The following is a 26581-nucleotide window of genomic DNA, read 5'->3' as shown; positions in this document are numbered from 1 at the left end:
TGTCTCCCTTGATCCCCACAGCCATTCTAGGAGAAAGGCAGAATGTCATAATTTGCTAAAAGGGATGCTGAGGCTCTGGGAGGGAAAGGGACTTGCCTAAAGCCCCAGGGTGAAGCAGCATCTCTGGACTCCCAGTCCAGTGATCTTGCCCAATACTTTGCTGCTTGCCTATACCCCTCTAACTTGGTCAACAGCACATCACAGGGCAAGCCCCAATCCCTGCTTCATTTTTATATATGGGCGCTGGTCCCACAGCCCCACTCTCCAGCCATTTGGAAACAAAAACAGATGCTATTGTTCTTCCTTAGAGAACGTGGCCAGTGGAGACGGCACACTGGAAATCAGAGTGAATGTTCTTGAAAGAGGGTCACGGGTCAACAAGGCCCAGCCAAAGGATGCAGTAGAACCATTTTCCTTAGAAATCTTTGGGAGTGAAGTAGGCTTCAGCCACTCCCATCCCTGCCCTTGCGGCTACCACTACCCCATTAGTTTAGACAGGGTCGGGCGGGGAGGGGTGTGGAGAAGAAATGAGCTTGCCTGTGGCCCCCAGGCTCCCTCTGTCCTAGCTCAGGTCTGGGTGCCATTCTTTACACTCGTGTGCTCGCTCACGCACACATCACACACCTTGCTGGTCACACAGTCACAGACTCGCCTCTGCTCCTGTGGTCCAGTGGCCGGACACCCCCTGGGATGGCTCAAAGGAGTCAGGACTTGGAATTGGGGACATCAGGGTAGCTGAAGGAAATCCACACACCCAGAGCATCTCGGAGTTCAGACTCTCAGACCTGAAGTAGGCGCCCCCGGGACTGGGCTAGGAGTTGGACGGAATGGAGGATGGAGGACAGCGAGAAGAAAGGAAGAGAAATGCAAAGTGTGGGCAGCCGCCAAGAGTGAAAATAGAGGGAAGTGTCATGCAAGTGCTGGACAGAAGGCGGCAGGTGGGACGAGCCCCACAGCCCCCTCCTCAAAAACGACCACCTCCAGGACTCAGTGATCCCTGGGGGGCAGGCTCTGCCAGCCCTCGGCCACACGTGGCTCCGGCACCCATGGTCCCAGTGCCTTGGATGGAGACGGCCAGTTCTGGCGGCCAGATGTGGTGCTCTGGAATCCAGTCCCATTTCCTTCCTGGCCACGCCTGTCCAGCGGCCTCTTTGGCTGCATTCAGCCCCTACTTACCTGGGGACCCCGGCTGGGGCACAAGAGCACCAGGGGGGTAGGGCCCAAAGGGATCAGGGGAAGCCTCTGGCCTGGAGGGTATGGGGCACACTTCCCCAAGGGCGGACCCAGCAGGAGGAAGCCCAGGAGCTGGGTCCTGCCGCCCAGGAGCTGGGCCCTGCCACCCAGGCCGGGCTAGGGACATGGCAGGGCCTGGGCATCCTGGCGCTGGACTTGGGCGACCTGGGAGGCACAGGGAGGGGAGAGATGGGCGGCCCCGCCCCAGCGCAGTGCCGGCCACACCCATGCACCGAAGCTCCTCCCTGCCACACCCCAAGGCGGTTGCCGGAGCTTAAGCCCCGCCCCCAGCAGCGAGAACATCCCACCCCCCACCCCCCTGCAGCCAGTGCTCCTTGTCAAGCTCCCCCCGTCACTCCAGGTGGGAGCCACCCCGGTGAGGGGGTGTGCCACTTGCCCCCAGGGCACTCCTCTGGGCATCCCGGGTGGGGGATTTTGGGGCCGTGGGGGGCAGTCTCTGGTACCTGTGTGCGTCAGGGATGCTCTGCACCTGCAACCAGGTGTCGTCCACGGGCGGGGGCATGGGCATGGTGACAGTGGTCCTGTTGATGTCACCGATGATGCTGAGCGCCTCCTTCAGCGCGTGGTGCATGTGCAGCATCTCGTCGTGCTGCTGTGCCTGCTCTGCCAACTCCTCCATCAGTGTGTTCTGGTTCCCACATGAGTACATATTGGCCAGCGGCTCCGAGATGATGAACTCCGGGGTCTGAGAGTGGGCAAACAGGGAAGAAGGTTGGGACCTGGTGCCTGTGCCGCCCTGGCTGCCTTGCTGGGCCCTTCTGGGACTGTGCGCTGGACTTGGAGCCCCTTGGAGTATGGCTTTTCACACGGGCTTCTATACCGCTTCGACTGGAAGATCCACCTCCCCACTGCCTTTTCTCACTCAGATGGGGACACCGAGGTCCAGAGGAAAAGACACCTGTCAAATGTCACAGATCTGGGAGGGGACTTAAGACCTATCATGCCAAGAGGACACCTGTCTACTCAGTTTTTTTTTGGTGGGGCGGGGGGCGGTGATAGGGTCTCGCTCTGTCACCAGGCTGGAGTACAGTGATGACTGCTCACTGCAGCCTCCACCTCCTGGGCTCAAAGTGATCCTCCAACGTCAGCCTCTCGAGTAGCTAGGACTACAGGCACATGCCACCACCAAGCCCAGCTATTTTTAAAATTTTTGTGTGGAGACAAGGTCTCACTATGTGGCCCAGGCTGGTCTCGAACTCCTGGGCTCAAGTGATCCTCCTGCCTCGGCCTCCAGGAGTGGGAGTTGGAGTTGATGCCTGGATACAGGAGCTCTGTGGGTGGGAGTGAGACAAAACACAGGGTCCTGAGCTCTGGGGACCAAGCAATGTCCTCTGGTGAAAAAAATCCTGGACTTGCTGGCAGAAGATTTGCCTCTTACTCGCCATGTGCTCTGAATACATTTACCTGCCCTCTGGGAGCTTCAGTTTTCTTATCTGAAAAATGAGGACACCTGACCCCTTCCCTGCCCAGTTCAGTGTTGTGGGACAGGGTTGCTGTCAAGACAATACCCAGTCCTGCCCTCCTCCCTGAGTGGGCCAGGTAGCCCATGTAGCCTCTTCCCAGCTTTCCTGGGTGGCACTGCCAGCCTGGTGCCCATTCAATCTAGTCCTTCATCTTGCTGGAGCATGGGGAAGCTCTGAGTAACATGGGACTATAGAGTGCAAGAGGGTTGCTGATGGTCTGGGTCCTGTGCCCTCCTCATTCCTGGGCATTCTTGACAAAGGCTCCCAGCAACTGAGGGTACGCAGCAGCTGTAGACACCAGCCTGATGAATATCTCATTGTGGGAAGGGCACCATAGCAGGAGTGGAGCTCCAGGGAAATACAGAACCGAGGTCTGGGAGGTGCTGATGTGAGAGGCCCAAGAAACCTCGGCTTTGCACTTGCTGAGTACCATCTGCACCTCTCAGGAGGGAGAGCGCCAGGCTCAGGAGGTCCTTGCCGAAGCAAGGGAGCTTGAAAAGGGGGCTGGGGTGGGCTCTGCCATTTTCAAGGGCTGACAGGGATCCCCTCTGGAGGTACTTGGGGCAGTGCTGCGTGCCGTGGCTCCTGAGTGACAGAGTCAGCTCTGCGCCCCACAAGACCGCTCCCTGCCGAGAACTCACTGTGATCATGTGCTGGGTCCAGATGCTCACGCAGCCTCCTGATGGGAGCATCAGGTGTGCTGCCTGCCCAGGGCGGCCCACAAGAGTCTGCCCTGCCCTGCCCTGCTCTGCTATGGAACAACTCCCATTCTGCCTTTGGGGAGAGGTGTTCATTTAAACCATGAGTGGGCTGGCCCCCATGGCACAGTTACCACAGAGAGTCTGCCACTACCCATGGCTGAGAGCTCTAGTTCTTCTCTGAAGCCACCAGGACAGATGAACAGTGGCTTCCCCCTTTTGGCCGACTCAGCTGCCTTTCATCAGCTCATCTGCTCCTAGGATCCACTCTTCCTCTGGCTGGCACCTGATCTGAGCCCGAGGCTCACACCTCTGCCCACAGGCCCCAGCAGCTGCTTCACCTCCGACTCCATCCCCCACCAAGCACTGCCCCTCACCAGCTGCTGGGGTGCCACTAGTGCCCCTACATGGTTCTCCCTCTCCAGACCCTTGGGTCCAGCTCTAGCTTCCTTCGGGAAGCCACACCCCAAGACCCCAGCCCTGCTCTGGGGCCCTGTATCCCCGACTTCCTGCATTCTTCTCCCTCCTTCTGGGAACATGAACTTGCCCTGCCAGCCTGATGACTCCTAGAGGGCAGGACACCAGGTCCTGGACCATGGCAGGCCTGGGAGTGTCTGCTGCCGGTGATGCTGGAGCTGGTGCCCATGTCCACATGATGTCCATGGCACAGTGGCCACCTGAGGCTGGGCGCATCTGAGTGGTGGCTGCAGAGTGGGGCCCTTACCTCTCCCTGAGTGAAGTTCACCAGGTCCTCCCCTGTGCTGTCATGCTGGGCGTGGAAGAGCCGGCCTAGCTGGAGGCCCCGCACCACATGGTAGAGCAGGAGCTGGGGGTCGGTGCCTGCTGGCTCTGAGGCTCTGGCTGCTGAGTGGCTGGACGGACTCTGCCAGAGGCAAAAGGGGCCATCAGCCTTTGTGATCCAGGCCGAGGCCTGTGGCTGCAGAGAGGCAGTGTGACCCTGGCATGCCACCCTCAGCTCTGCCCCAGCCCCCCGCACCCAGGAACGCCCACAATCAGCACACCCACCTGGGCAGTCAGTGTCCGGCTGCCCTCCAGCGAGTGAAGCACTTGCTTCTGGGCCGTCACTCAGAAACTAAGTGTCTGGAGGAAGTATGTTCACCGTCAGAGAGGCCAAAGTGGATGCCTCCGTCCAGGGCCCCTGGGGACAAGGGTGTTGGGTCCAGCTGGCCTGAACTGGCTCCCCACCTCAGGGTGCCCCCGTGGGCAGCAGAAACCTGGGGCTCGGCCCTCAGCACCCACCTCTGTGTGAGAACAGCACGAGCCCACCATCCAGCTGGGTCTGCATGAAGCTGCGCACCTCAGTGCCCGGCACCGCCCACTGCACTACCCACCCATTGCTGGGCTGCTTAATGGTGTACACCAGGTCCTTGGGCCCAGAGTAACCATCCATGCTCCTCAGAGCCTCTGTAGGGATGGGCACGGTGGCCCCCTCCCACATCTGGGGACACAGGCCTGTGAAGGTTCTGCCCTGCCACACTTACCCACCCCTTCCTCCCCGGCCCTGGGCTGCCACCAGGGCTCCAACCCCACTGAGGCTCAGGCCCTCAGGTGGCATCAAGGCTGGCGCTGCTGTGGCTCCCCTGCACAAATGGCCTCCCTGCATTCACCTTCCCTGTCACCCCAGGGAAGGCCACCCTCCAGGCCCAGCATCCCTGCTCTTCATCTGTCCTAGTCCTGTGTGTCCCTCAAGACCAGCTTGTGTACCCAACCCAGGAAGGCCCTAGCTCTTACCGTCACCAAGTTCTCACCCCCAGAAACCCCCAGCGCTGACCAACAGTGCTCCTTAATCTAGCTCACTGGTGGGGCAGCAGTCTCCTTTCAGACCCTCCATGTGTGCCTGGCAGGGGCTGGGCACAGGTGGGAACAGTGATTTTAGAAACGAGCACTCCTTCCAGCTAAGGGAGGGGTGGGAGGCGCAGAGAGCTGAAGCCTGATGGTTGGCACTGTCCTGCAGCACAGAAGCAGTGCTGGGATGGGCCCAGGTGCTTCCAGAGCAGTTACGGGCCCTCCTCGTGTTGGGCAAAGGGGGCCCCTTTTCAGGCCTCCCACTAGCAAGCAGAACAGGCACCCGTTCCTGAGGTCCTGGTACCACTCTTGCTGGGTCAATTACTTGTGGGCAGTGCTGCAGTGGGACTCACATGCCCAGAAAACAGCCCTCTGGCATTCCTGGGCTTCCTCCCCTGGCCGCAGGGAGCCCTCAGGCCGAGCCTTGGCAAGAGGGGCCATACTGTGGGAGGCAGGGCCCCATCACTGGGCTCCCGGAACAAACACGGGTAGATGGCACCACCTGGTGGCCGCACTGCCACACAGCCATCCCAGCCTGTGGTTCCAGGGTGCTGTGTCCCACTCTTCTGTGGCGTCCACACCATGAGGCCACCCCCTACAGGCACATCCTAGACCACCAAAGCCCCCCGGTGCCCCATGTCAGAGACAGCCCAAGTCAGCCCTCTTGCGGAACCTTCAGTGGCTTCTGCTGACTGGGGAGGACGCGCCCCAGAAGCTGGGGTTCAAAGCCCTGCCACGTGGGCTTAGTAAAGCCATGCCCTTTCTGTTCCACCAGAACTACTTTTGCAATCATGGAGAAGTTCCATCCCATCTCTGGGCCTCAACTTCCACCTTTGCCAAATGGGGGCCCTGCTCTGCTGTGGACAAGGGGCAGGAGTTTGGGAAGCCAAGCTGAGGCCTCCACTTGCTGGGGTGAAGGTGGGAAGCTTAACGGTCCCACCCTGACGCCAGCCCTTAAGGGCTTGTAAGTGATTCTTTCAGGTGTTCTGGTCCTAAGCCACAGGAGAAGGAACAGCAGAGCCACCCATGGCTGCTCAGAAGTCTGCCTACCGTACTTGCAAATGTCCAATAACAAAACCTCCCACCTGTGTTCTATTTCAGCACAATCTCACATCTCTCCTTCCAACAACTGCGTGAGGCACACAGTAGTGTCCTCATTTTGCAGAGGAGGAAACTGAGGCTCAGAGGGGGGGAGATCTGTGCCGGGAAGTAGGGGACATTGGCCTCTTTCTCAAAGCAGACATGGGGGGTGGTCCCAGGAATATGCTCACCTGCAGGCCTGAGTTTGTATGAGGTCGGGGGTTGGCCATTGACAGGCAGGATGGTGACAGTGAAGGCCACAGGATGGCTCTGGCGGTCCATCTCAGAGGCATTAGCCATCAGGACAAAACCGTCAGTGTCTTGCTCCCATCGTGCAGGTACTGGATCAGATGCTCTTCCACCTAGGGGCAGGCCCAGGGCTGGCAGTCAGGCCCCAGCAGTACCCTTCATGTTCTGCCTTTGGGTGCAGGAAGAGACTGACCCTTTTAGGGCCTCAGCTTCCATTGGTGGAAAATGGGGACCATAAGTTCTGGTTCCCAGAGGAGTTGTGAGGAAGAAAGGGGATATTTTATTTTATTTTGAGACAGAGTCTCTCGCTCTGTTGCCCAGGCTGGAGTGCAGTGGTGTGATCTCGGCTCACTGCAACCTCTGCCTCCCAGATTCAAGCGATTCTCCTGCCTCAGCCTCCTGAGTAGCTGGGACTACAGGTGCGGGCCACCACACCCGGCTAATTTTTTGTATTTTTAGTAGAAACAGGGTTTCACCGTGTTAGCCAGGATGGTCTTGATCTCCTGACCTCCTGATCTGCCCACCTCGGCCTCCCAAAGTCCTGGAATTACAGGCATGAGCCACAGCGCCCAGCCCGAGATACAGCATCTAAAGCATAGGTCTTTCTGAAATGTGACTCCCTGTCTCCTCTCTGTATAACCCCTGGACTGGGAGTCCCCGGGGCTCCCTCCACTCTGCCCCCAGAGCTGGGCTGCAGCCCCTGGGCCTCTCTCACAGCCGTACCTCTCTCCAGCAGAAGGTGCTGAGGGTCCTGGCTTGAGGCCCATCCTCCTTCTGCAGGGCCCCATGCCGGGGTGGCTCCAGCACCTGCAGGCCAAGGCCCGGGAGAGTGGGGAAGTAGGACCTGGCAACGCGGAGCAGTGGAGGGGCCAGGGTGCAGCTGCGACTGTGCCCCCTCTACTGCTGAAGTTTTGTGCCCCCAGTGGGGATGACAGCAGGCAGCACCTCCAGCTCCACGTGACGTCCTCAAGGGGAGCACCCAGGCCGAGGCCACATCCAGCGAGAAGGCATGGCTCCGGGCCTCAGGGCGGGAGTGCAGGTAGAGGATCCTGCCTGTGTCCACTGCCTCTTGGGAGAAGCTCTGCACGGGGTCCAGGCTGGGTGGCTCATCTGCCAAGATGCCACGCAGCACCATCACCAGGTAGCCGGCACTCGGTGGGCTCTTCACTGAGAAAACGATGTCTGCTGGCGGCACTGCCTCCTGGGCTACCTGGTTAACAGAGGTCATGAGGACTCACAAGGGAATGCAGAGGGGTCTCAGAGGGGCCCACTGTGGCCCTAAGCAGCCAGAACAGCCTTGATCTTGCTCCACTTATTTCCCCAGATACCACTGCTCATTTAGTGACACACACACATGTGGGTTCACACACACAGCAGCCAGACATGCAGCTGGTCACATTTTTTGTTTTTTTGAGACAGGGTCCCACTCTGTCACCCAGGCTGGAGTGCTGTGGTGTGATCACAGCTCCCTGCAGCCTCAACGTCCTAGGCTCAAGGGCTCAGCCTCCCAAGTAGCTGGGACCACAGTCATGTGCCACCATGCCTGGCTAATTTTTAAATGTTTTGTGTAGAGATGGGGTTTCACTGGGTTGCCCCAGCTGGTCACATGTTAATACCCACCCCACACATGGTTACGGGGTGTCGGTCAACAGCTTGAGATGCACTCCCTCAGGGAGGTGCATAATCACATGTCCCCAGACTCAGTGACACAGACATATGAGTTCATCAGATGCTGACGCAGTCACACAGGTACAGGTACACATGCGTGTGTGCACACGCACACAGGCCCCCTGCTCAGGATCTGTTCAGGCCTGTGGCTGGTTTGCTGGCAGCATCCTCCCCAACCCCTGCTATTACCACCCAGGACCATCAGAGGGTGCCCTGCCCCACCCCACCCCACCCCTCCTAGAGGCACAGGCACCCCCAGCACAGGCCCTACAGAGCTCACACCCCAAAGGCCACATGGGCTCCCTCACCTGATGGGCCATCCACAAGAGGCTAAACTGCCTCCAAACTCACATTCCTGTTTTGTGCCTTCGGCCGGAATGTTCCTTTTGCGTGGAATACCACTCCCCATTCTCTGCTCCTAATGGCCTGTACTCTTCAGAGCCCGGCCCAAACACTGCCTCCTCCCATGAGGCCTTCCTGATGCCAGATCTGCTGGCTCACCATGGGCCCCAAGCTCCAGATGCAGACCAGAAGGGTCTCCGAAATAAGCAGTGTGGAAGAGTAAGGCTGAGAGCGGGCAAGGACTGGCCTGAGGTCACAGGGCATGTCAGATCTCTGGAAGGCCCGTGGCTGCTCTGTGGGGTTCCTGGGTGAGCAGAAGCCCTTGACAGACCCTCCTGGTCCTGGTCTGGGCTCTGAGAAGAGAGCGGGGTACACAGGGGTCTGAGAGGCAGCGGCCTGTCTCCACGGCCAGCAATCCCAAAAGTTCAGGACCCGTGATGCCCTCCCAGGGAACTGACTGCAATGCAGATTCTCGGGCTCCACTTCAGAGATTCTGTAGGGCTGGGTGGCGTCCAGGAATCTGCATGCTCAGCCATGCCATGGACATGAGTGGACACCAGCTCTAGAGGCACACACCACTCCCAGGAGGATGGGTGTACAGCAAGCTCCCCAGAAACTCTTGGGAACACAACATATATGGGAGCACATCTGAGGCACGTGCACACACACAAGCTGGGACCACCACAGGTACAGCCCAAGTCACATGTGTTCCCGGCATGGAGGCTGGGAGGAAGGCCCTCTACCTGGTCCACACCCCGCTCACCACCTCCAGCTCCTCACCTCCAGCTGGTCCCTTCTGATCTCAGCTGCCTCTCCCTGGAAGATGTAGATCTCCTTGTGCTGGGCCAGCTTCAGTGGGGCTACTGGGCCCTCTAGGGCAATGGTCACTTGTAGGGTGGCATCTGTGTGCACTGGTCCCACATCCATTGAGAAGGCCAGGGTGTTGCGGGAGCTGAGGCTGCCATTGTGGCCATAGAAAACAGCCCCAACCAGCAGGTCCTGCTGAGAGAAGGCTGTGGCTGGCTGAGTGGCTTGGAGCAACTGTCCCCAGTGAGGGCTGTCTGTGACGTGGTAGTGGGCCTCATCCCTACTGCAGATGTTGAGGTTGGTGCCCAGGTGGAGCTCGGCCATGTTGATGGTACCCTGGCCTCCTTGAGGAACCATGAGGCCGGAGCCATTGGCCACACAGAGGTAAGGCTCCAAGGCCTGCACCTCCAGCACCGTGATGGCCTGGTGCTGCCCATCGGACACCTGCAGCGGGATCCAGCCGTGGTCAGCCTGAGTGTGTGAACAGGACTCGCCTCTTCCTGAGGCCCCTCCTGGATGAAGCGGCAGATGGGCTGCATGGGCTCATCCGTGGCCATGATACTGCCAGAGAGGAGGTCCTGGTGGGTCAGCACCAGCTGGGCCTCAGCAAAGCCCGAATCAGCATTGCTGAAGGCCATGTTGTCTGTAGTCAGCAGCCGCCACCTACCCCAGGCCACGTGGAAGACGCAGCTGATGGTCTGCATAGGGGCGTGGTCATTCACAGGCTGGATGGCCACTCAGAAGACACCCCATACCTCCTCCCAGGCCACGTCACCACTGCTCTGGTCCTGATGGCAGCAGGAAATGGGATATCATCTTCTAGTGATCTCAGAGTCATCATGCTGCTAGACCAGCTGGCCATGCATCAGGTCTCCATTGGTGAAGGATGTCACCATAGTGATCTTGTCCTGTGTCCCACGCCAAGTCAACCTCCCATGGCGGGGCTGCTCCATGACCTCATAGAGGTACCTGGCACTGTTGAGACTCTTGATGAAGAGCTGGTCAGCAGAGAGGACACACCCACCACCCTCGGGCACCACGAGGACAGGCATGTCTGGGTCACCGCCAATATGGATGGAGAAGGTACAGAGTGGGGAGAAATATGGTGGAGCTGTGACATGGAAACAGAAGGTGTCCTCCACTGCCACTGAGGCACGTGCCATGGCCCCATAGGTCACCTCTGCAGCCTGTACGTCATCCTGGGTGAAGCCCTGACCGTCTGACAGCATCGTGCCCTGTAGTTGAAAGTTGCCTTTCCTGGGAGCCTGAACCACCTCACAGTGGAAGGTTGGGGGGCTTGGGCCTGCCTCCTCCAGGGTGGCCTCCAGGTGGGCTGTGGTGAGGGCCTCCTGCTGGGTGTTCTGAGTGTGCAGTGGCTCCAGCTGCAGCATCCACACAGTGGCTCTCTGGATGGTCACTAGGAAGGACAGATTGCTCAGGATTTCCCAGCTCACCTGCACCTGCAGATCCAGGTTCTCCACGGTGTCCTCGGTGTAGTGCTGTGGGTCAGTGCTCAGGTACCTCACGTGGCCCTGCTCCACATCCTGCTGGTGGAACGCCTGTGTGACCCACCACTCAGCATCCTCCACCCCACCAGCCCCCTGCTTCTGCAGCTCCCTGAACGGCAGGCCTCCGGTGACACGGAACAGCACGGTCACATCCTGCCCCACGGCGCTGGTCTCCACCAACAGGTTGGTAGGCAAGATGGGCATGGCAGAGCCCTGGGCCAGATGCAGCCCTGTGCTGCGGTGGATTTGTATGGCCAGCTGGACAGCCACCACCTTCAGCATGGCCGGGGGGCTGGCCTGCAGTCCATTGCTGACCCGGAATGTCAAGTCCTGTGTAGGGCCACCACAGTGGACATAGACTAGGCTGCCGGCCTCCAACTCCCAGCAGGAGAACTCAGTCACCGGCTCCCCAGGCTGGTCTCGGTGCTCCATGGGGAGGCCAGAGGGGGTGCCAAGGAGCTGGAAGGCGAGGCCCTCACAGGCAGAGTCCAGGTCATAGGCCTGGAGAACCTCAGGCCCCAGAGGCTTCTGTGTGTGTTCCAGGATCACCATAAGGCTGCCATGTGGGAAGATGATGTGGGGTGGGTCATTGACAGGGTTGACCTGGATGGGCAGGAGGTCTGTTTGGCCCCTCCGCAGGCATGAGGGCATGGGCAACCAAGCCATCACTGACACCTCCAGCACCAGCTGGTCAGAGGTGTCCTCAGGGCCATCGTGGATGAAGCGGGCCTTGCAGTTCACCACGTCCAGGAGGGTGAACATTTTTCATGCCTGGGCACCCAGGACATCCAGCTCGAGCTCGCTGTAGTGTGCCCCTCAGGTCACGCTGAACAGCACCTGGGATTTACGCAGTTCAGCCTCCATCAGTGCCAGCATGGGCTGCACATGCCACCACTCAAGCCAGGCTGTGCCACCCTCGGTCACCACCACTGTGCTGATAGCAGCTGGATGAAATTGGCAAAGACAGGAGGTAGCCCTGGCTCAGGCACGCATGGCTCAGCTAGCTCCACGGACAGCCAAGCCTTGGGAGCCAGGGTGGAGAAAGCTTCATAATGGCCATAGGCATTGTCTACCTCCTCCAGTCTGCAGCCAGCCACCATGTTGTGCGTCAGCAAGGCTTCCCACAGCCCCTGCCTCTAGCCATTGACACTGAGGTCTTCCATGCAGCCAGCCCAGCAGGGAGGCATTGGCAGCCCCTGGTGTCAGGCCTGAGCGGTGTTCCTGGAGGTGATGAGAGGCCTCTGCAACCAGCTCCCCAAGAAGGAGACTGTCACGTGGCTCCAGGTAGCTGAGGACTCCTCAGTTCGTGTGGGGTACTGGTCCATGGAGATTTCTAGCTGGTGAATGTTGATGTGGATGCTGACCTTGTGGGGCTGTGCGTCAGTCACAGGCACACTGTTGAGGAGCAATACAGTACCCTGGCCCTTCTCAACCATGGACCACAGGTGGCCCTCAAATATGTCCACATGGATGAAGTCCCCATGCCAGCCTGCTGCCTGGAAGGCCAAGGGTGCCTGCCAGCTCTGTGTGGTGAGTGTAAACTCCAGGGTTCCTTCATCCTGAGTGCCCCAGGCAGGCAAGGCAGCCAGAGAGTGGGACCCAGAGAAGCCCAGGGCCACATCATCATTGGCAGAAAACTCTTCAGCACAGCCCTCATGCTTATTGGGGGTCAGAGGCTGGAGGAGTCTGCGGCCATTGAGAGCGGCTGCATGGAGGCAACCCCTCAGGGGATGGCTGGTTCCCCTCAGGTAGGGCAGGCCAAGTCTCCCAGTGCTCCCAACAAAGAGCCCATAGGGGACTTCTAGGGGGGCTCCCAGGACTACAGAGGAGGCATTCAGAAACCCATTGACTGACAATGTGGGCCAGTCCTCTGAGACAGTCAGAACTGTGGTGTGGGGGACGGAGCCACTCAGTAGAATTTCTGCTGGGGTCTGCAGCCTCAGCTCCTCCTGGCCCAGGACAAGCCTGACCTGAGGAGAGACGGGGAATGGGAGATGGGGGGCAGCACTTTGAATCCATCATTTCCCTTATAAAAGCACAGTGGGTTCCCCACAGGGGGCCCCAGAGCAGAAAACCTAGGACAAGGGCCTCTGGTGCCACTCCTCTTGCCTTCCTGCCATCTCTTTATTCATCCTCCAAACACTCACCAAAGGAAACTCTGGGCCAGGCCTGGATGGGCTCTGGGGACCCTGGTGTGAATCAGATGTGGTCCTTGCCCACAAGGAACTGACATATAGCAAGATGCTCTTCTAGAAACCCAACCTGTATTTTTAAATTCTCCTCCTCTTTCCTTGAGTGAAAAGCACCAGAAATATTGTCTTGGAATCTAGATTTCACCCCTGGAATAATGGGTAACTGAGAATCCGTTGATCAGTCCCCCTAAGTTTGGCAAAGTTTCTCGAGGTCACTGAAGGAAGCCAGGCTAACTGTTCAGGGACAGGGAGCCCAGGCAGATGCTCTGTGTTCTGGGAAAAAAAAAAAAAAAAAAGCTGCCTGACCTGTGGTGGAGGAATATCTCAAGGAGAGATGAAGGACATAGTTCTGTCACCATGACATTGACACAAGAAATGGCTCTGGTATGGTGCTCCCAGATGCTAGAATAGGTGATGGCAGAGTATGGGAACTGCAGAGGCAGAACACTAAGAACCATGATCTTGGAGTCCTGGTATGGTGCATCTCTGTAGGGATGTGGCATCACTACCTGCAGAGCTCAACAGCCATCAGCACCAGACTGCACCACATAGGTGTTCAACAGTGACACCTTGTGGCAATGAGCAGCAATGACAGCAGCAGACTGACCAAGCCCTAGTCCTCTTCCCACTGGGGTGTGGAAAGAGATGGCTGCCCCAAATTTGTTAATTTGTTTTTTTTTTCCTTCTAAAATAGAGATGGGGTCTCATTGTGTGGCTCAGGCCAGTCTTGAACTCCTAGGCTCAAGTGATCTTTCCACCTTGGTCTCCCAAAGTGGTGGGATTATAGGCATAAGCCACTGCACCCAGCCTGCCCCAAATTTGGACTAAGACCCTGGGTTCTTAAACTCTTCCTGGTATGGGGTAAGACTCAAGTAGGAGCCACAAGACTCCTTGATAATAAAGCTTGTGGTGTCTTGAAGGATGAAATGGAAAAATGAAGCTGAGGCAGTACTGGTGCTGTTACTCTCATGGACAGACAGTGGTGCTGCAGATAAATTGGTGCAGTGCCACCAGGATGCGCAGGGGTCATGGGGGCCCAGGAGGGGGTCTCGCCGAGGAGGAGGGGATGCCCACACTGAAACTTCAAGGAGAGACTAGAGTTCGGCAGGTACAGGGAATGGGTGGGTCACACACCTGGCAGGAGGAGTGTGATGACCAAAGGCCTGGCAGCAAGTGACCATAAGATGGCCAGGAACTGAAAGCAGTTCAGTGCAGTCAGAGCACAAAGGGCCAGTGAGGGCTTGTGGTGGGAAACATGGTTGGAAGGAGCCGGTGGGCAGAGCCAGTTCATGAAGGATTTACCATTTCTGAGCTGCTGCTGCCCATCCCACAGTGGAGAACTTGAGACCCCAAGAAAAGTGACTTACACAAGGTCAACAGCCAGCTGGGGTTCACTCAAAGCTAGACAAGGAATCTCGCCCCAATCCCAGGGGGACGTCACTCACCTGCAGGTGTCCAGAGTAGAGCTGCAGCAGGAGGTGGTCAGCTGGGCCTGCTGCCAGGAGAAGGAGGGCTTCGGGTTGGGACATGGAGAACTGCAGCTGCAGGTCTATGTCAGTCAGAGCCATGGCCACAGTCACCTCCGGGTGGTTCTAACCAAAGAAGGAAGCTGTGTGAGAGAGGGAGCTGTGGTCAAGGCTCAGATTCTTGCCTGGAGGAGGCGAGGTGCTGCAGGGAGGGATGGGTGGGTTGCAGAAAGGGGTCCGTGCTGGTGCACCCTCATGGTTCTGCCATACGGTGCTGCCTCTGAGCACTGCCCAGATCCCAGCATTTCCTTGGTCCTGGCACCAGAAAGCACAGCCTCACCTTGTGTCCAGCCCAGACCTTGACTTGGCAGGAGGTCAGACCCAGAAATTCCCAGCAACTCAGGTCTCCTCCTTGGAGGTTCCTGGAGCCAGAGGCCTCTGCCAGCTCTGACTCACCTCCCCTGGGCCCCAGAGGAGTCTCCCTCCCAGGTCTGGCTCCCCGACCTGGCCCAAAGGGAAACATCACTGGCCTGATCACCTGGCTTGGTGGTCACAGCCCTGAGGAATGGAGTTTCTGGAGAATCACCACCAGGCCAGATCGATCCCTGCTCAGATTCCTTCTCCTAAGTGCCCTTGTGCTTGGGCTCCTGTGCAGCACCTGCCGTGCCATGCCCCACCTCCATGGGTTGGCTGGGGCCACGGCTGGGATCTGGGGGTGATGTCAGTGCAGCCCACCTATCCCTGCTTCTCCCTCAGGCCATTCTTCCAGCTGCCATTGAGGGTGGGGGCAGGAGCTTATTGGCCTGAGTTTGCCAAGGAGTAAAGGCTCTCAGGCCAGATGGGGACCATATGCAGTGTCAAACCAAAGTGGGCCCACACTTCCTCCACTACCCCTGCTGTTGCTTCCTGCTAGAGAGCTATTCACAGTCCCCGCTGAGCAGTCAGATCCGGCCCCATTGTTTCCACCGTGGCCAAGGAACCAGGGATGAGAACAGCTCAGCTCCCAACCTCCCCAGGCCACCACTCAGTCTGAGGCTGAAGACAGGGCCTAGAAGGGGCTGAGGGTCTGCTGAGCAGGCCAAAGAGGGCCTCCCCAGGCAGAAGGCCATGTCTGGGCTTGCCTGGGATTAGTGGTTCTTATGCAGGGCCTGTTCTGTCCCACACTGGGACTCCTCCTCTTTTGAGTTGCTGCTTCCTCCAGGCAGTTTCCCCAAATTAGCCTCCCTGACTTCCAACCCGATGCCATAATTTCTGGTCTATGCCTTTTGCGGTGATAAGAGCCAAATATAACTTTAACTTTGCCTGCAGATGTCCAGGGCTGGGGGGCAGACAAACACAGGTTAAAAACTGTGATTCATCCCTGTTGGGTTTCCCTCAAACCCCAAGAACAAGCACAGGCTGATGGCCTTGATGGGGTGATCCAGCACCGACCTCACATGCACTGGTCCCTAGCCAGCCTGAGCCAGCTGCCATCTGCTCGAGGAAGTAGCTTCAGCCATTGGAGGAGTTGGAGGTTTGTATACCCTCAGGGCAGCCAGTCCTACCTGGAGGGATATCCAGGAAAGATCCCGTAAGAGCCCCTCGGGTTGAGTTAAATCCCCTCTAGTTATCCCCTCCTCCTGCTAGCACTGCTGGCAACACCAGCACCTTGGCTGGGAAGCTAAGGGAATCAAGCAAGCCCCGCAGACCATCTGCACGGGGGTGGCCCAGCAGTCTCAGCAGGCACAGCACAGCTTGGTGCCAGCAAGAGACAGACCAGGGAACTGCAGGTGGCGGCCAGCTACTGGGGTGCCTTATCTGCAAAGACATTGATTCCTAAGAGCAAAACACAGCACACTAAAGTGAGGGAGGCCATAGCACAAGGGGTGGGGGCACATGGCCCTGCAGGATGGAGCCACCACAGTCACCGGCTGGAACGGCTCACAGCAGCTGCCAGGAGCCAACTGTTGAATTTTCAGGAATTTTGAGAGGCAGGTGATACTGCCCACAGTGGGAATATTTATACCAGGAAAAGAGGCAAATACTGAAAATCAGGGTTCCCTCTCCCCAAGAAAGCCCTTTGCGAAACATTTACCTACCCAGCACCCACGGGGAAGGGGGCACATCTCCCTGTACCTACCCACCTGTGTTAATCAGGGTTCCCTAGAGGGACAGAACTAATAGGAGATATAGACAGATATAGATATAGATAATAGATATAGATATAGATATAGATAGATATATAAAGGGGAGTTTATGAAGTATTAACTTACATAATCACAAGGTCCCACAATAGGCTGTCTGCAAGTTTGAGGAGCAAGGAGAGCCAATCCGAGTCTCAAAACTGAAGAACCTGGAGTCCGATGTTAGAGGGCAGGAAGTGTCCAGCATGGGAGAAAGATGTAGGCTGGGAAGCTAGGCCAATCTTACCTTTTCATGTTTTTCTGCCTGCTTTATATTCGCTAGCAGCTGATTAGAAAGATGGTACCCACCAGTATTAAAGGTGGGTCTGCCTTCCCCAGCCCACTGACTCAAATGTTTATCTCCTTTTACAATGCCCTCACAGACACTTCCAGTAGGTCAATACTTTGCAGCCTTCACCCCAATCAAGTTGACACTCAGTATTAACTGTCACACCACCCTTGCACTAAAGGTATACATACACCCACTAGGGCATGGTCAACGTCAGAGATCTGGGCCAGACAGGAACTGAAGTAGATGGTTGGCCCTAACCACTGAACCACCTGCCTGCGGCCTCCTCCCATCAGAAGAGAGTAGAGCCTGTTTGGCCAGAGTGGAATGGTGGCAGGAAGCAGAGGTACTTTCCGGAGCGCTGGGGTCTGAATGGGTCCATTGAGGCTGGGCCCTGCTGCTTCCTGTAGGGCTGAGTGGGAGAGGCTCACAGAGGCTGCCTTGTGCAGCTGGAGCGCATAGCCAGGGAGGCCCCCACTCCAACAGAGGCCTCTGAGGCCTTGCTGGCCGGGGCTTTGGAAACTCTGACAGCGCTGCTTCCCTCACCTCTTGATCTCCTTTTTCTGCCCCTCTTACACTCTCTGAGGGGCTGCAGTTGCAAGAACCCAGAATCTCTGTCTTGGAGGTAGTGGGGGGTGGGCAGTTGAAGAGGGGCTTTGAATGGAGAGGGTCTGCACAATAAAGATGTAATAAGCTAGGAGTCAATCCAGAGGACTTCCTGGAGGAGGTGATGGTGGTGTAGAGTCACAGAGAGGGAGGAATAGGCAGTCTCAGAGGACAGCAGCAAGGCCAAGTGAGAGACTGGCAGAGGTATACAGGTCCCCGCTGGGTGGGGTGAAGAGGGTTTCTGCTCCCTCACCCCGCAGAGCCTCTGGCTTATCACAGGATAAAAGCCAGCTAAGCTTCAGGGGCTTTCCAGGAAAAGTGTCTCTTGGAAAGGGTGTGACCTTTTCATCGGTCCTGACAGCACCCTAGAAATGGCTTGGTCTTTTCCCTCCCCTGAGCTCCACAGAGAACACAGCCAGCAGAAGACACATTCCCTGTCATCCAGAAATGGGTTTGATTCTCAGCTGAGGGACAGCAGGACTGGTAGAGACTGTCAGGCCACACAGCTACCTACAGAGCACCCCCATGCTTGGTCGGGGGTGGGAGGGATGGCAGGGTCTGGCTGTCCACAGGCCGGGCATGACAGTGGGGCGCACTGGAAGTGGCGCACTTTGGAGGGGCAATGTCAGGGGAGAGCTTCCTCTTGTTGGGCCACAAGACTCCACAAGGACAGCACGGTGACTGATTCCCAATGCTAGAGGCGAGGCAATCGGTCATGTGTAGGTGTATGTGTGTGTGTGTGTGGGTGTGTGTGTCTATATACACACACATATGTGTATATATATATGAGGGTGTGTGTATGTGTGTATATACATTATTTATTTAGATGGAGTCTTGCTCTGTCACCCAGGCTGGACCTCAGTGGTGCGATCTCGACTCACTGAAACCTCTGCCTCCTGGGTTCAAGCAATTCTCCTGCCTCAGCCTGCCGAGTAGCTGGGACTACAGTCACCTGCCACCACACCGGGCTAATTTTTGTATTTTTAGTAGAGATGAGGTTTCACCATATTGGCCAGGCTGGTCTCAAACTCCTGACCTTGTGATCTGCCTGCCTCGGCCTCCCAAAGTGCTGGGATTACAGGTGTGAGCCACAGCACCCAGCTATTTATAGATATTTATAGAATATGACCTCAACTATTTAAACATATCTGTAAGGGTATAAGTACTTTGATAACAAAGAAGCAATACATACTGATAGAAACTAGCTATCATGTCAACAGTAGTTATATTAGGTAGAGAAATTATGTGAGATTTTTATTTTTTTATATTTTACTAATCTTCTCAATAATGGTTGCTTATAAGTTTTATAATCAAGAAAGAAAGGTTTCTAAAGTTTTTGCAAAATGGAAAGTTATGCTTCTTTATATACTAAAGACAAAAACAAAACTTCCTATTTGAATACCTTTGACTTTTACTGCAGACTTACAGACCCTTGAAAGAAAAGGCAATCCCCTCCCACTAGTTTTGGTGTCATTCTCCCCATCTCTCCCTTCACTTCCACCTTGGTCTTCTTTCTACTTCCCACCTTGGCTAGTGGTCTCCACCCAAAATGCTTGCTTGGCTTAATGGTTAGAATTCAGGGAAAAAGAGATCCCGAATTGCTAATCTAAACTAAGATTATACATGTGGGAAATAATAAAGAGAAACCAGGTAGTAAATAAGATTTGGAGGACTTAAAATACCCAGACTTTAATTCCTCTAAGATTATAGTTATGAATCATGTTTTTATATAATATTATCTCTTAACATTTAAATTCTAAATATAATGTTCATGAGGAAAAGAGAAAATAGCTTGGTTTCTTTCCTCACCAAACTGTTGTCCTTAGTATCTTCTAGACATTCCAGAACTGATGTCAGATTTGGCTCATCAGAGTCCACAGACCATATCGGTGAAGAAGATGAATAGGATTCCTGTTTAACCCAGAGACACCTATGTTAAATGTTTACATACAGACTAACCCAAATATGCAATTAAACCACACCACTAAATGGCAAGATGACCATGGATTTAAACAAAATGTATCAGGGGGAAAAGGCAACACGTTTAAACCCATGTGAGGAGCTGGACTTCTGAGACAGCCATTCTCCTTGCATAGCACTGTCTGCTGCTACAGCTCATAGAAGTCAACAATTTTCTTCAACACTGGTAGGCAGCCTCTAAATGGCCCTGATCACCCTCACCTCCTGCCATTCACACCCTTGTAAAATTCCACCCCTGGACCTAGTGACTCACTTCTAACAAAGAGAATACAGCAAAAGTAACATCGCTTCTGAGGTGAGGCTACAAGGAGACTACGATGCCTGCCTTGGTCACCCTTCTCCTGCTCTTTCCATTGCTCCCTCTGATGGAAGCCAGTTGCCATGTGATGAGGTGCCCTATGGAGAGGCCCACGTGACAAGGTATTGTAAAAGGCCTCTGACCAATAGCCATCTAGAAACGGAGGCCCAGTCCAGCAGCCTCTGAGATGATTCCTGCCAATGTGAGCTTGGAGACAGATTCTCTCCCTATCCTGCCTTGGGATGATCACAGCCGCCATCAACACCTTCACTGCCTGGTGAGAGACCAAGCCAGTGAACCCAAGATAAACTGCACAGAATTCTGACCCACAGAAACTGTGAGATAATGTTTGTTGTTTTAAGCTGCTAAATTTGTTACAGAGCAATAGATAACTAATTCAAACACCATAAAATTCTAACATTTTATTCTATCACACAAACCAAGTAATACCAATAAATGCCATTACTATACATATATTTTTGGAACACAATTACATGTGATTTTTTTTGAAAAGCTAATGAACTAAGCATTATGTGCTTTCACCCACTAATAGACATTTACTCTGTTGTAGGATTTTCCATTATAAATTGGAGAAAAGCCATTATTATTATATATTAGCTTCAGAAGAACTAGGTTCAAGTCACGGAAATCCATGAACACCGTGGAAAACCAGAAAAACAAGTTGGCCGGGCGCGGTGGCTCACGCCTGTAATCCCGGCACTTTGGGAGTCCAAGGTGGGTGGATCACGAGGTTAGGAGATCGAGACATCCTGGCCAACATGGTGAAACCCCTTCTCTACCAAAATAAAAACAATTAGCCAGGTGTGGTGGCACGTGCCTGTAGTCCCAGCTACTCAGGAGGCTGAGAGAGGGGAATCGCTTGAACCCAGGAGGCAGAGGTTTCAGTGAGCTGAGATGTGCCACTGCACTCCAGCCTGGAGAGAGAGCAAGACCCCATCTCAAAAAAAAAAAAAAAAAAAAAAAGAAAAGAAAAGAAAAACAATTTGTATTGAAGGAGGACATCATTAACAGTATATCTCTTCAATAATGATTTATGTTACTATTCTCATTCCTCTCTCACAGTGTCCCAAATCTCTTTACAGGCTAAAAGAAACTTTTCAGAATTAATCCTATTCTTTTTTTTTTTTTTTTGAAACGGAGTCTTGTTCTGTCACCCAGGCTGGATGCAGTCGTGCGATCTTGGTTCACTGCAAGCTATGCCTCCAGGGTTCACACCATTCTCCTGCATCAGCCTCCGAAGTAGCTGGGACTACAGGCGCCTGTCAACACGCCCGGCTAATTTTTTGTATTTTTAGTAGAGACGGGGTTTCACCATATTAGCCAGGGTGGTCTCGATCTCCTGATCTCGTGAACCGCCTGCCTTGGCCTCCCAAAGTGCTGGGATTACAGGTGTGAGCCACCATGCCTGGCCCAATCCTATTCTTGAAGAATACCACTTACTGAGTACTGCATTTTCTTCTCCAAATTCTTCAGCATACATTGGGAATACACCATATGGACCATTTTTACATTTTTAGTTTTGGGTGTTTTATTTGTTTGTTTGTTTGTGGCTAAAGAAACTGCAACTAGATTTAGGACCTCATTCTATTAGGTTAGTATCTGTCTACTAAACTTCAGCATAAGCAAAATAAAATACATGTTGTTGCTCTGGAGTGAAACCCCTCAAAACCAAATTTTAAAAATTACAAAAACATTAACTGAAATCAAGTTTTTAAAAATCTTGTAGATGAAAAGATATGATATATAGTAGGTTTAAGTACCTATTTCAATGGTTCACAAAGTCTGGCCCTCAGACCCCCAGGTCCAAACTGTTTTGACAGGAATACTAACATGGTGACATTTGCTGTAAGGGTGCAGATGCAATGGTGGGTAAAAATGCTGGTACTTTAGCATAAATAAAGGCAGTAACACCAAACTACTAGTAGTCATGGTATGACTACTGTGCACGGGAAAGGTTTAAAGGTGTAAAAAGGAAGGGAGGGCCGGGCATGGTGTCTCATGCCTGTAATCCCAGCACTTTGGAAGGCCAAGGTGGGCAGATCACCTGAGGTCAAGAGTTTGAGAGCAGCCTGGCCAACACGGTGAAATCCCGTCTCTACTAAAAATATAAAACTTAGCCGGACATGGTGGTTGCATGCTTGTAGTCCCAGCTACTTGGCAGGCTGAGGCAGGAGGATTGATTGAGCCCAGAAAGTTGAGGCTACAGTGAGCTGTGATCATGCTACTGCACTCCAGCCTGGGTGACAGAACAAGGCCCTGTCTCAAAAATAAAAAGAATGTCTATGATGAAGCAGTGAAAATTTTACTACATCTTAATCCTTGAATATGTCTTTTTAATATTTCAAGTGATGAAATGGGAAGTATACATGAGCATTCCTACAGACTGCCTTAGAAAAAACCTTCGTGTGACTAAGTCATGAAGTGAATTAGCCACTTTAGTGTAATATCATTTTTACTTCAAAGGATGACTGACAAAAAAATATTATTTCAGCTTGGGTTTTGAGAGACATTTTCTCAAAAAAGGAGATTCTGTTATTTCAAGCAAAACAACAGACAGGCCATAATAAAATTCAACAATAAAATTGCTAATAATAAAACTCAAGCTTTTAAACAAAAAATTAGAATTTTAGAAAACTTATATCCACCATTGCTTTCCAAAAGTATTCTGATGAGACTGATGGTGATATTGATGAGTGTATTTTGATACCATATAATCAAAGGTATCAACATATAGAAGATCTCGGTGAACTATTATTTTCAAAATGACCAATGCATGATGTTATAATATCATGCAAAGGTAAAAGATCCAAAGTTCAAGAAAAATCAAGTTTTGATGGAGTATCAAATAAGAAGCCAAGGCAACATGGCAAAACCTTGTCTCTACAAAAAATACAAAAAATTACCTATGTGTGGTAGTACACACCTGTAGTCCCAACTACTCTGGAGGCTGAGTTGGCAGGATCACCTGAGTCCCCAGAGACTGAGGGTCCAGTGAGCCATGATCATAGCACTGCATTCCAGCCTGGGAGACAGAGCAAGACCCCATCTCAAAAAGAAAAAAAAAAGAAAAAGAAATATCCACAATGATCTAAAATGCCTATCTGTATAAGACTGGGCTTTGTTCACATTTTCTCAAGCAAATATCACACAGTAAATTGGATGCAGATGCAAATGACATACCAAACATCAAAGAAATTTGCAAAAGATGTAAGATTGTACTACTTTGGGTTTAGAAATGTTCTTTTCATAGAAACATTTATAACATCTCAGGATGGATCATAATCTTAGCTGCAGTTTTCCTTCCAAATAGGGTTACAAAGTATTAAAACATGGGCTTGGAAGTGACAGACCTGAGTGAATCAGCACAGCTTAAAAAAATCCAATAAAACTAACTTTTAATAATCCTGAGGTTGGTTTTTGAAACAATAGATACAATTATTTACTCTAAGCATCTGGTTATGATTTTGAATCAGTAATACATACTGTCTACACCCTTTTTTTTTTTTAAAGGAAACAGAGGTTTCATCCAGAAAACCCCAAAACAGTGAATTTTTTTTTTAGACAGGGTGTCACTATGTCTCCCAGGCTGTAGTGGAGTGGTGGCTCTCAGCTCACTGCAGCCTCAACCCCCCACCTCAGCCTTGCGAGTAGCTGGGACCACAGGCGCCACTGTGCCCGGCTAACTTATTGTATTTTTTGTACAGATGGGGAATTGCCGTGTTGCCCAGGGTGGTCTCAAACTTCTAGGCTCAAGTCATTCACCCACTTCAGCCTCCCAAAATGCTGTGACTACAGGCGTGGGCCACCGTGCCCAACCTGCAGTGACTTTTTAAAACATAAGTTCAAGCATCTCTTCTTAACTCCTTTAATTGGACGTATCTCTTCTCTTATTGTCCTCATCTTTGGTGTTCCGCCAGAGTTCACTGCTGACTGGATGTACAACATGTATTTCAAAGTCAAGGCTGGGTGCGGTGGCTCACACCTATAATCCCAGTGCTTTGGGAGTCAGGGCAGGCAGATCGCTTGAGTCCAGGAGTTCTAGACCAGCCTGGGCAACATGGTGAAACCCTGCTTGTATTAAAAATACAAAAAAATGGGCATTTCCGGGAGCGCTGCCTGGAGTTGGTGTCCCCGCTTTTGGCATGGTGGCCTTTTCCAACCTGGCTGGGCCAATCCAGTCACTGAACCTGAAGGAAGATGCCAAGTTTCAGAAGAAAGTGGCACAGGTTCGCAAGCACATAACCCAGTGAAAAAAACAAGAACAGCTTACTCCTGGAGTAGTCTATGTGTGCCACCTACCTAACCTACTGAACAAAACCCAGATCCTTTCCTATTTCTCCCAGTGTGGCACTGTTACAAGGTTCAGACTATCCAGAAAGAAAAGGACTGGAAATAGCAAAGGCTATGCATGTGTGGAGTGTGAGTCTGAGGATATTGCCAAGATAGTTGCTGAAACGATGAACAACTACCTGTTTGGTGAAAGACTCTCAGAGTGTCATTTTATGCCACCTGAAAAATTCAAAAAGAACTCTTTAAAGACTGGGATATTCCATTTAAGCAGCCATCATATCTGTCAGTGAAACAGCATAATCAGAATCGGCACTTACACAAAAGCTGCGAATAGAGGGACGATTTAAAAAGAAAGAAAGATTACTCAGGAAGAAATTAGCTTATAAAGGAATTGATTATGATTTTCCTTCTTTGATTTTACAGAAAATGGAAAGTATTTCAAAAACGAATCATCTGATGTCTACAAAAGGCCACGTTTTACGTAAGAAGAAGAAAAAGGTTTTAGGCATTCCTGACACTCCTGAGAAGACTGTGGATACCCAGGGCCCCACACCGGTTTGTACATCAACATTTTTGGAGAGACAAAAATCTGAAGTGGCTGAAATGAATGATGATGATGAAGATAATGAAATAGTTTTTGAAAAGCCCATATCCTGTGTAAAAGAAGAAATACAAGAGACTCAAACACCTACACATTCACAGAAAAAAAGACAAAGCATTCAGTGATTTTCAATATATTATATATAAGATTTCTTCTGAAAAATATAATGTTTTTATGAGAAAAATACAAAAAATTAGCTGGGCGTGGTGGATCATGGCTGTAGTCCCAGCTACTTGGGAGGCTGAAGTGGCAGGATCACCTGAACCTAGGAAGTTGAAGCTACAGTGAGCCATGATTGCGCCACTGCACTCCAGCCAAGTAAAATTACATTTATCTTAGCCTTTTCTGACTGGCTTAAGTGGGATCTGTATTAAGAATACAATAGGCAATCTCACAGACATCTAAATACAGAACTCAGCATGTGACCACACCATGGAAGGACTGTGCTGGGAGGTGATTTTCCTCTCCTGCATGCCTTCACTCTGGACTTCTGCTCCATGCTTGTGCTTTGCTCTGCAGATGGACGTTCGGCACGTGCTCCAGGCTCCTCCAGCCGCTGAGGCTTTGGCTTGCCCTGGCAGTACCCCTGGTCCCAGTGTTACTGGACCTTTCCATACAGATGCTCCTCTGCAAAAAATCTATCGAACACTCTCTGTGTCATTTCCAATGAGCAGGATAGAGAATCTGATCTGCCTAGCAGTGGGGGTGGGAGTTCCCTAGTTGTCCCTGGATTTGTAGTGCTGCCCTTTCCAGAGACTCGAGGAGGGTCCGGATATCCAAAGAGAGGATGTGGGTGGGGAATCAGTAATACAGTCTACTTCAACAAGAAAGTATAAAGTAGAGGCGGTGGCTCACGCCTGTAATCCCAGCACTTTAGGAGGCCAAGGAAGGCAGATTACTTGAGCTCAGGAGTTTGAGACCAGACTGAGCAACATGGCAAAACCCCATCTCTACTAAAAATACAAAAAATTAGCTAGGTGTGGTGGCACATGCCTGTAGTCCTGGCTACTTAGGAGGCTGAGGTGGGAGGCTTGCTTGAGCCCAGGAAGTCGAGGCTACAGTGAACCAAGATTGTGATGCCACTGCCCTCCAGCCTGGGTGATAAAGCGAGACCCTGTCTCAAAAAAAAAAAAAAGAAAGTATAAAGTGGAAGGATCTGTATGCATGATTGAAGCATCTGTATGCATGATTGAAGCATCTGTATGCATGATTGAAGTCATGTTTTCCATATTTTTTTCCACCTTGCCCTTTTTTTCTCTACAACACTGTATCTGAAGCTTTTCCCTAGGTTATCAAGTACTCATAAGCATTATTTGAATGGTTGTATCAGATCCATTATCTAGACTCATTGTCGTTATCCATCTGCAGTTGCTGGAGATACTGTCCTTTCTGCCACACTCAGTCACCCTTCTGACCTTGCTCTGTGTCCGGTTATCTACTAATACACATGCTGGTCATTTAGGACTTCAACTTAAGAATAAATAATTATCATAGTTCCTAACACTTCAAAAAGAACGTAGCTTCCTAAAAATAGAATGGCTAGGTGGTTATGATAATTTTAAAGTAAAATAGACAAATTGATATTGAAATTAACTTTTTGCTTTCTTCTTTTATCTATTTTTCACTTCTCTGTCATTTTGATGGATAGTTTCATTTGAAAGGATTTTTTTTTTCAAAATAGAAATAGCATATGACATGGGAATGGTTGAACTAGAAAGGTTCAACTTTCTAGTCATTAGTTTCCTAAGATTGTCACAAAAGCTACTGATAGTCAATCATGATTGGCCTGTATTGAAAGTGA

General features: G+C 52.4%; 4 pseudogenes across 3 annotated transcripts in view, besides 1 other annotated feature; 3 read left to right on the top strand and 1 right to left on the bottom strand.

Annotated features, from left to right (window-relative positions):
- The window catches only part of LOC101929479 (golgin A2 pseudogene), a 29789-nt pseudogene extending 28681 nt beyond the window's left edge, over positions 1-1108 (top strand). Inside the window, exon 8 of the transcript NR_158179.1 lies at positions 647-1108. The product of NR_158179.1 is annotated as a golgin A2 pseudogene, transcript variant 1 (transcript). The remainder of the gene's footprint in view (positions 1-646) is intronic.
- Positions 1-2666, top strand: part of LOC727751 (golgin A2 pseudogene) — a 31360-nt pseudogene extending 28694 nt beyond the window's left edge. Inside the window, 2 exon segments of one of the 2 annotated variants that reach the window (NR_102748.1) lie at positions 641-1451; positions 1481-2666. The product of NR_102748.1 is annotated as a golgin A2 pseudogene, transcript variant 2 (transcript). 2 annotated transcript variants of the gene reach the window in all.
- Positions 4441-14681, bottom strand: CSPG4P12 (chondroitin sulfate proteoglycan 4 pseudogene 12; annotated as a pseudogene).
- Positions 6945-7445: an enhancer, noted in NCBI's record as "H3K4me1 hESC enhancer chr15:85741901-85742401 (GRCh37/hg19 assembly coordinates)". NCBI's record gives its function as "activates a minimal SCP1, AML or CMV promoter by ChIP-STARR-seq in naive H9 embryonic stem cells {active_cell/tissue: H9 hESC(naive)}" and the evidence as "EXISTENCE:reporter gene assay evidence [ECO:0000049][PMID:30033119]".
- NIFKP8 (NIFK pseudogene 8) lies at positions 24011-24960 on the top strand (annotated as a pseudogene).

Source organism: Homo sapiens, chromosome 15 (genome assembly GCF_000001405.40).
Source record: "Homo sapiens chromosome 15, GRCh38.p14 Primary Assembly".
NCBI lineage: Eukaryota > Metazoa > Chordata > Mammalia > Primates > Hominidae > Homo > Homo sapiens.
This window is presented reverse-complemented; position numbering and strand designations above follow the sequence as displayed.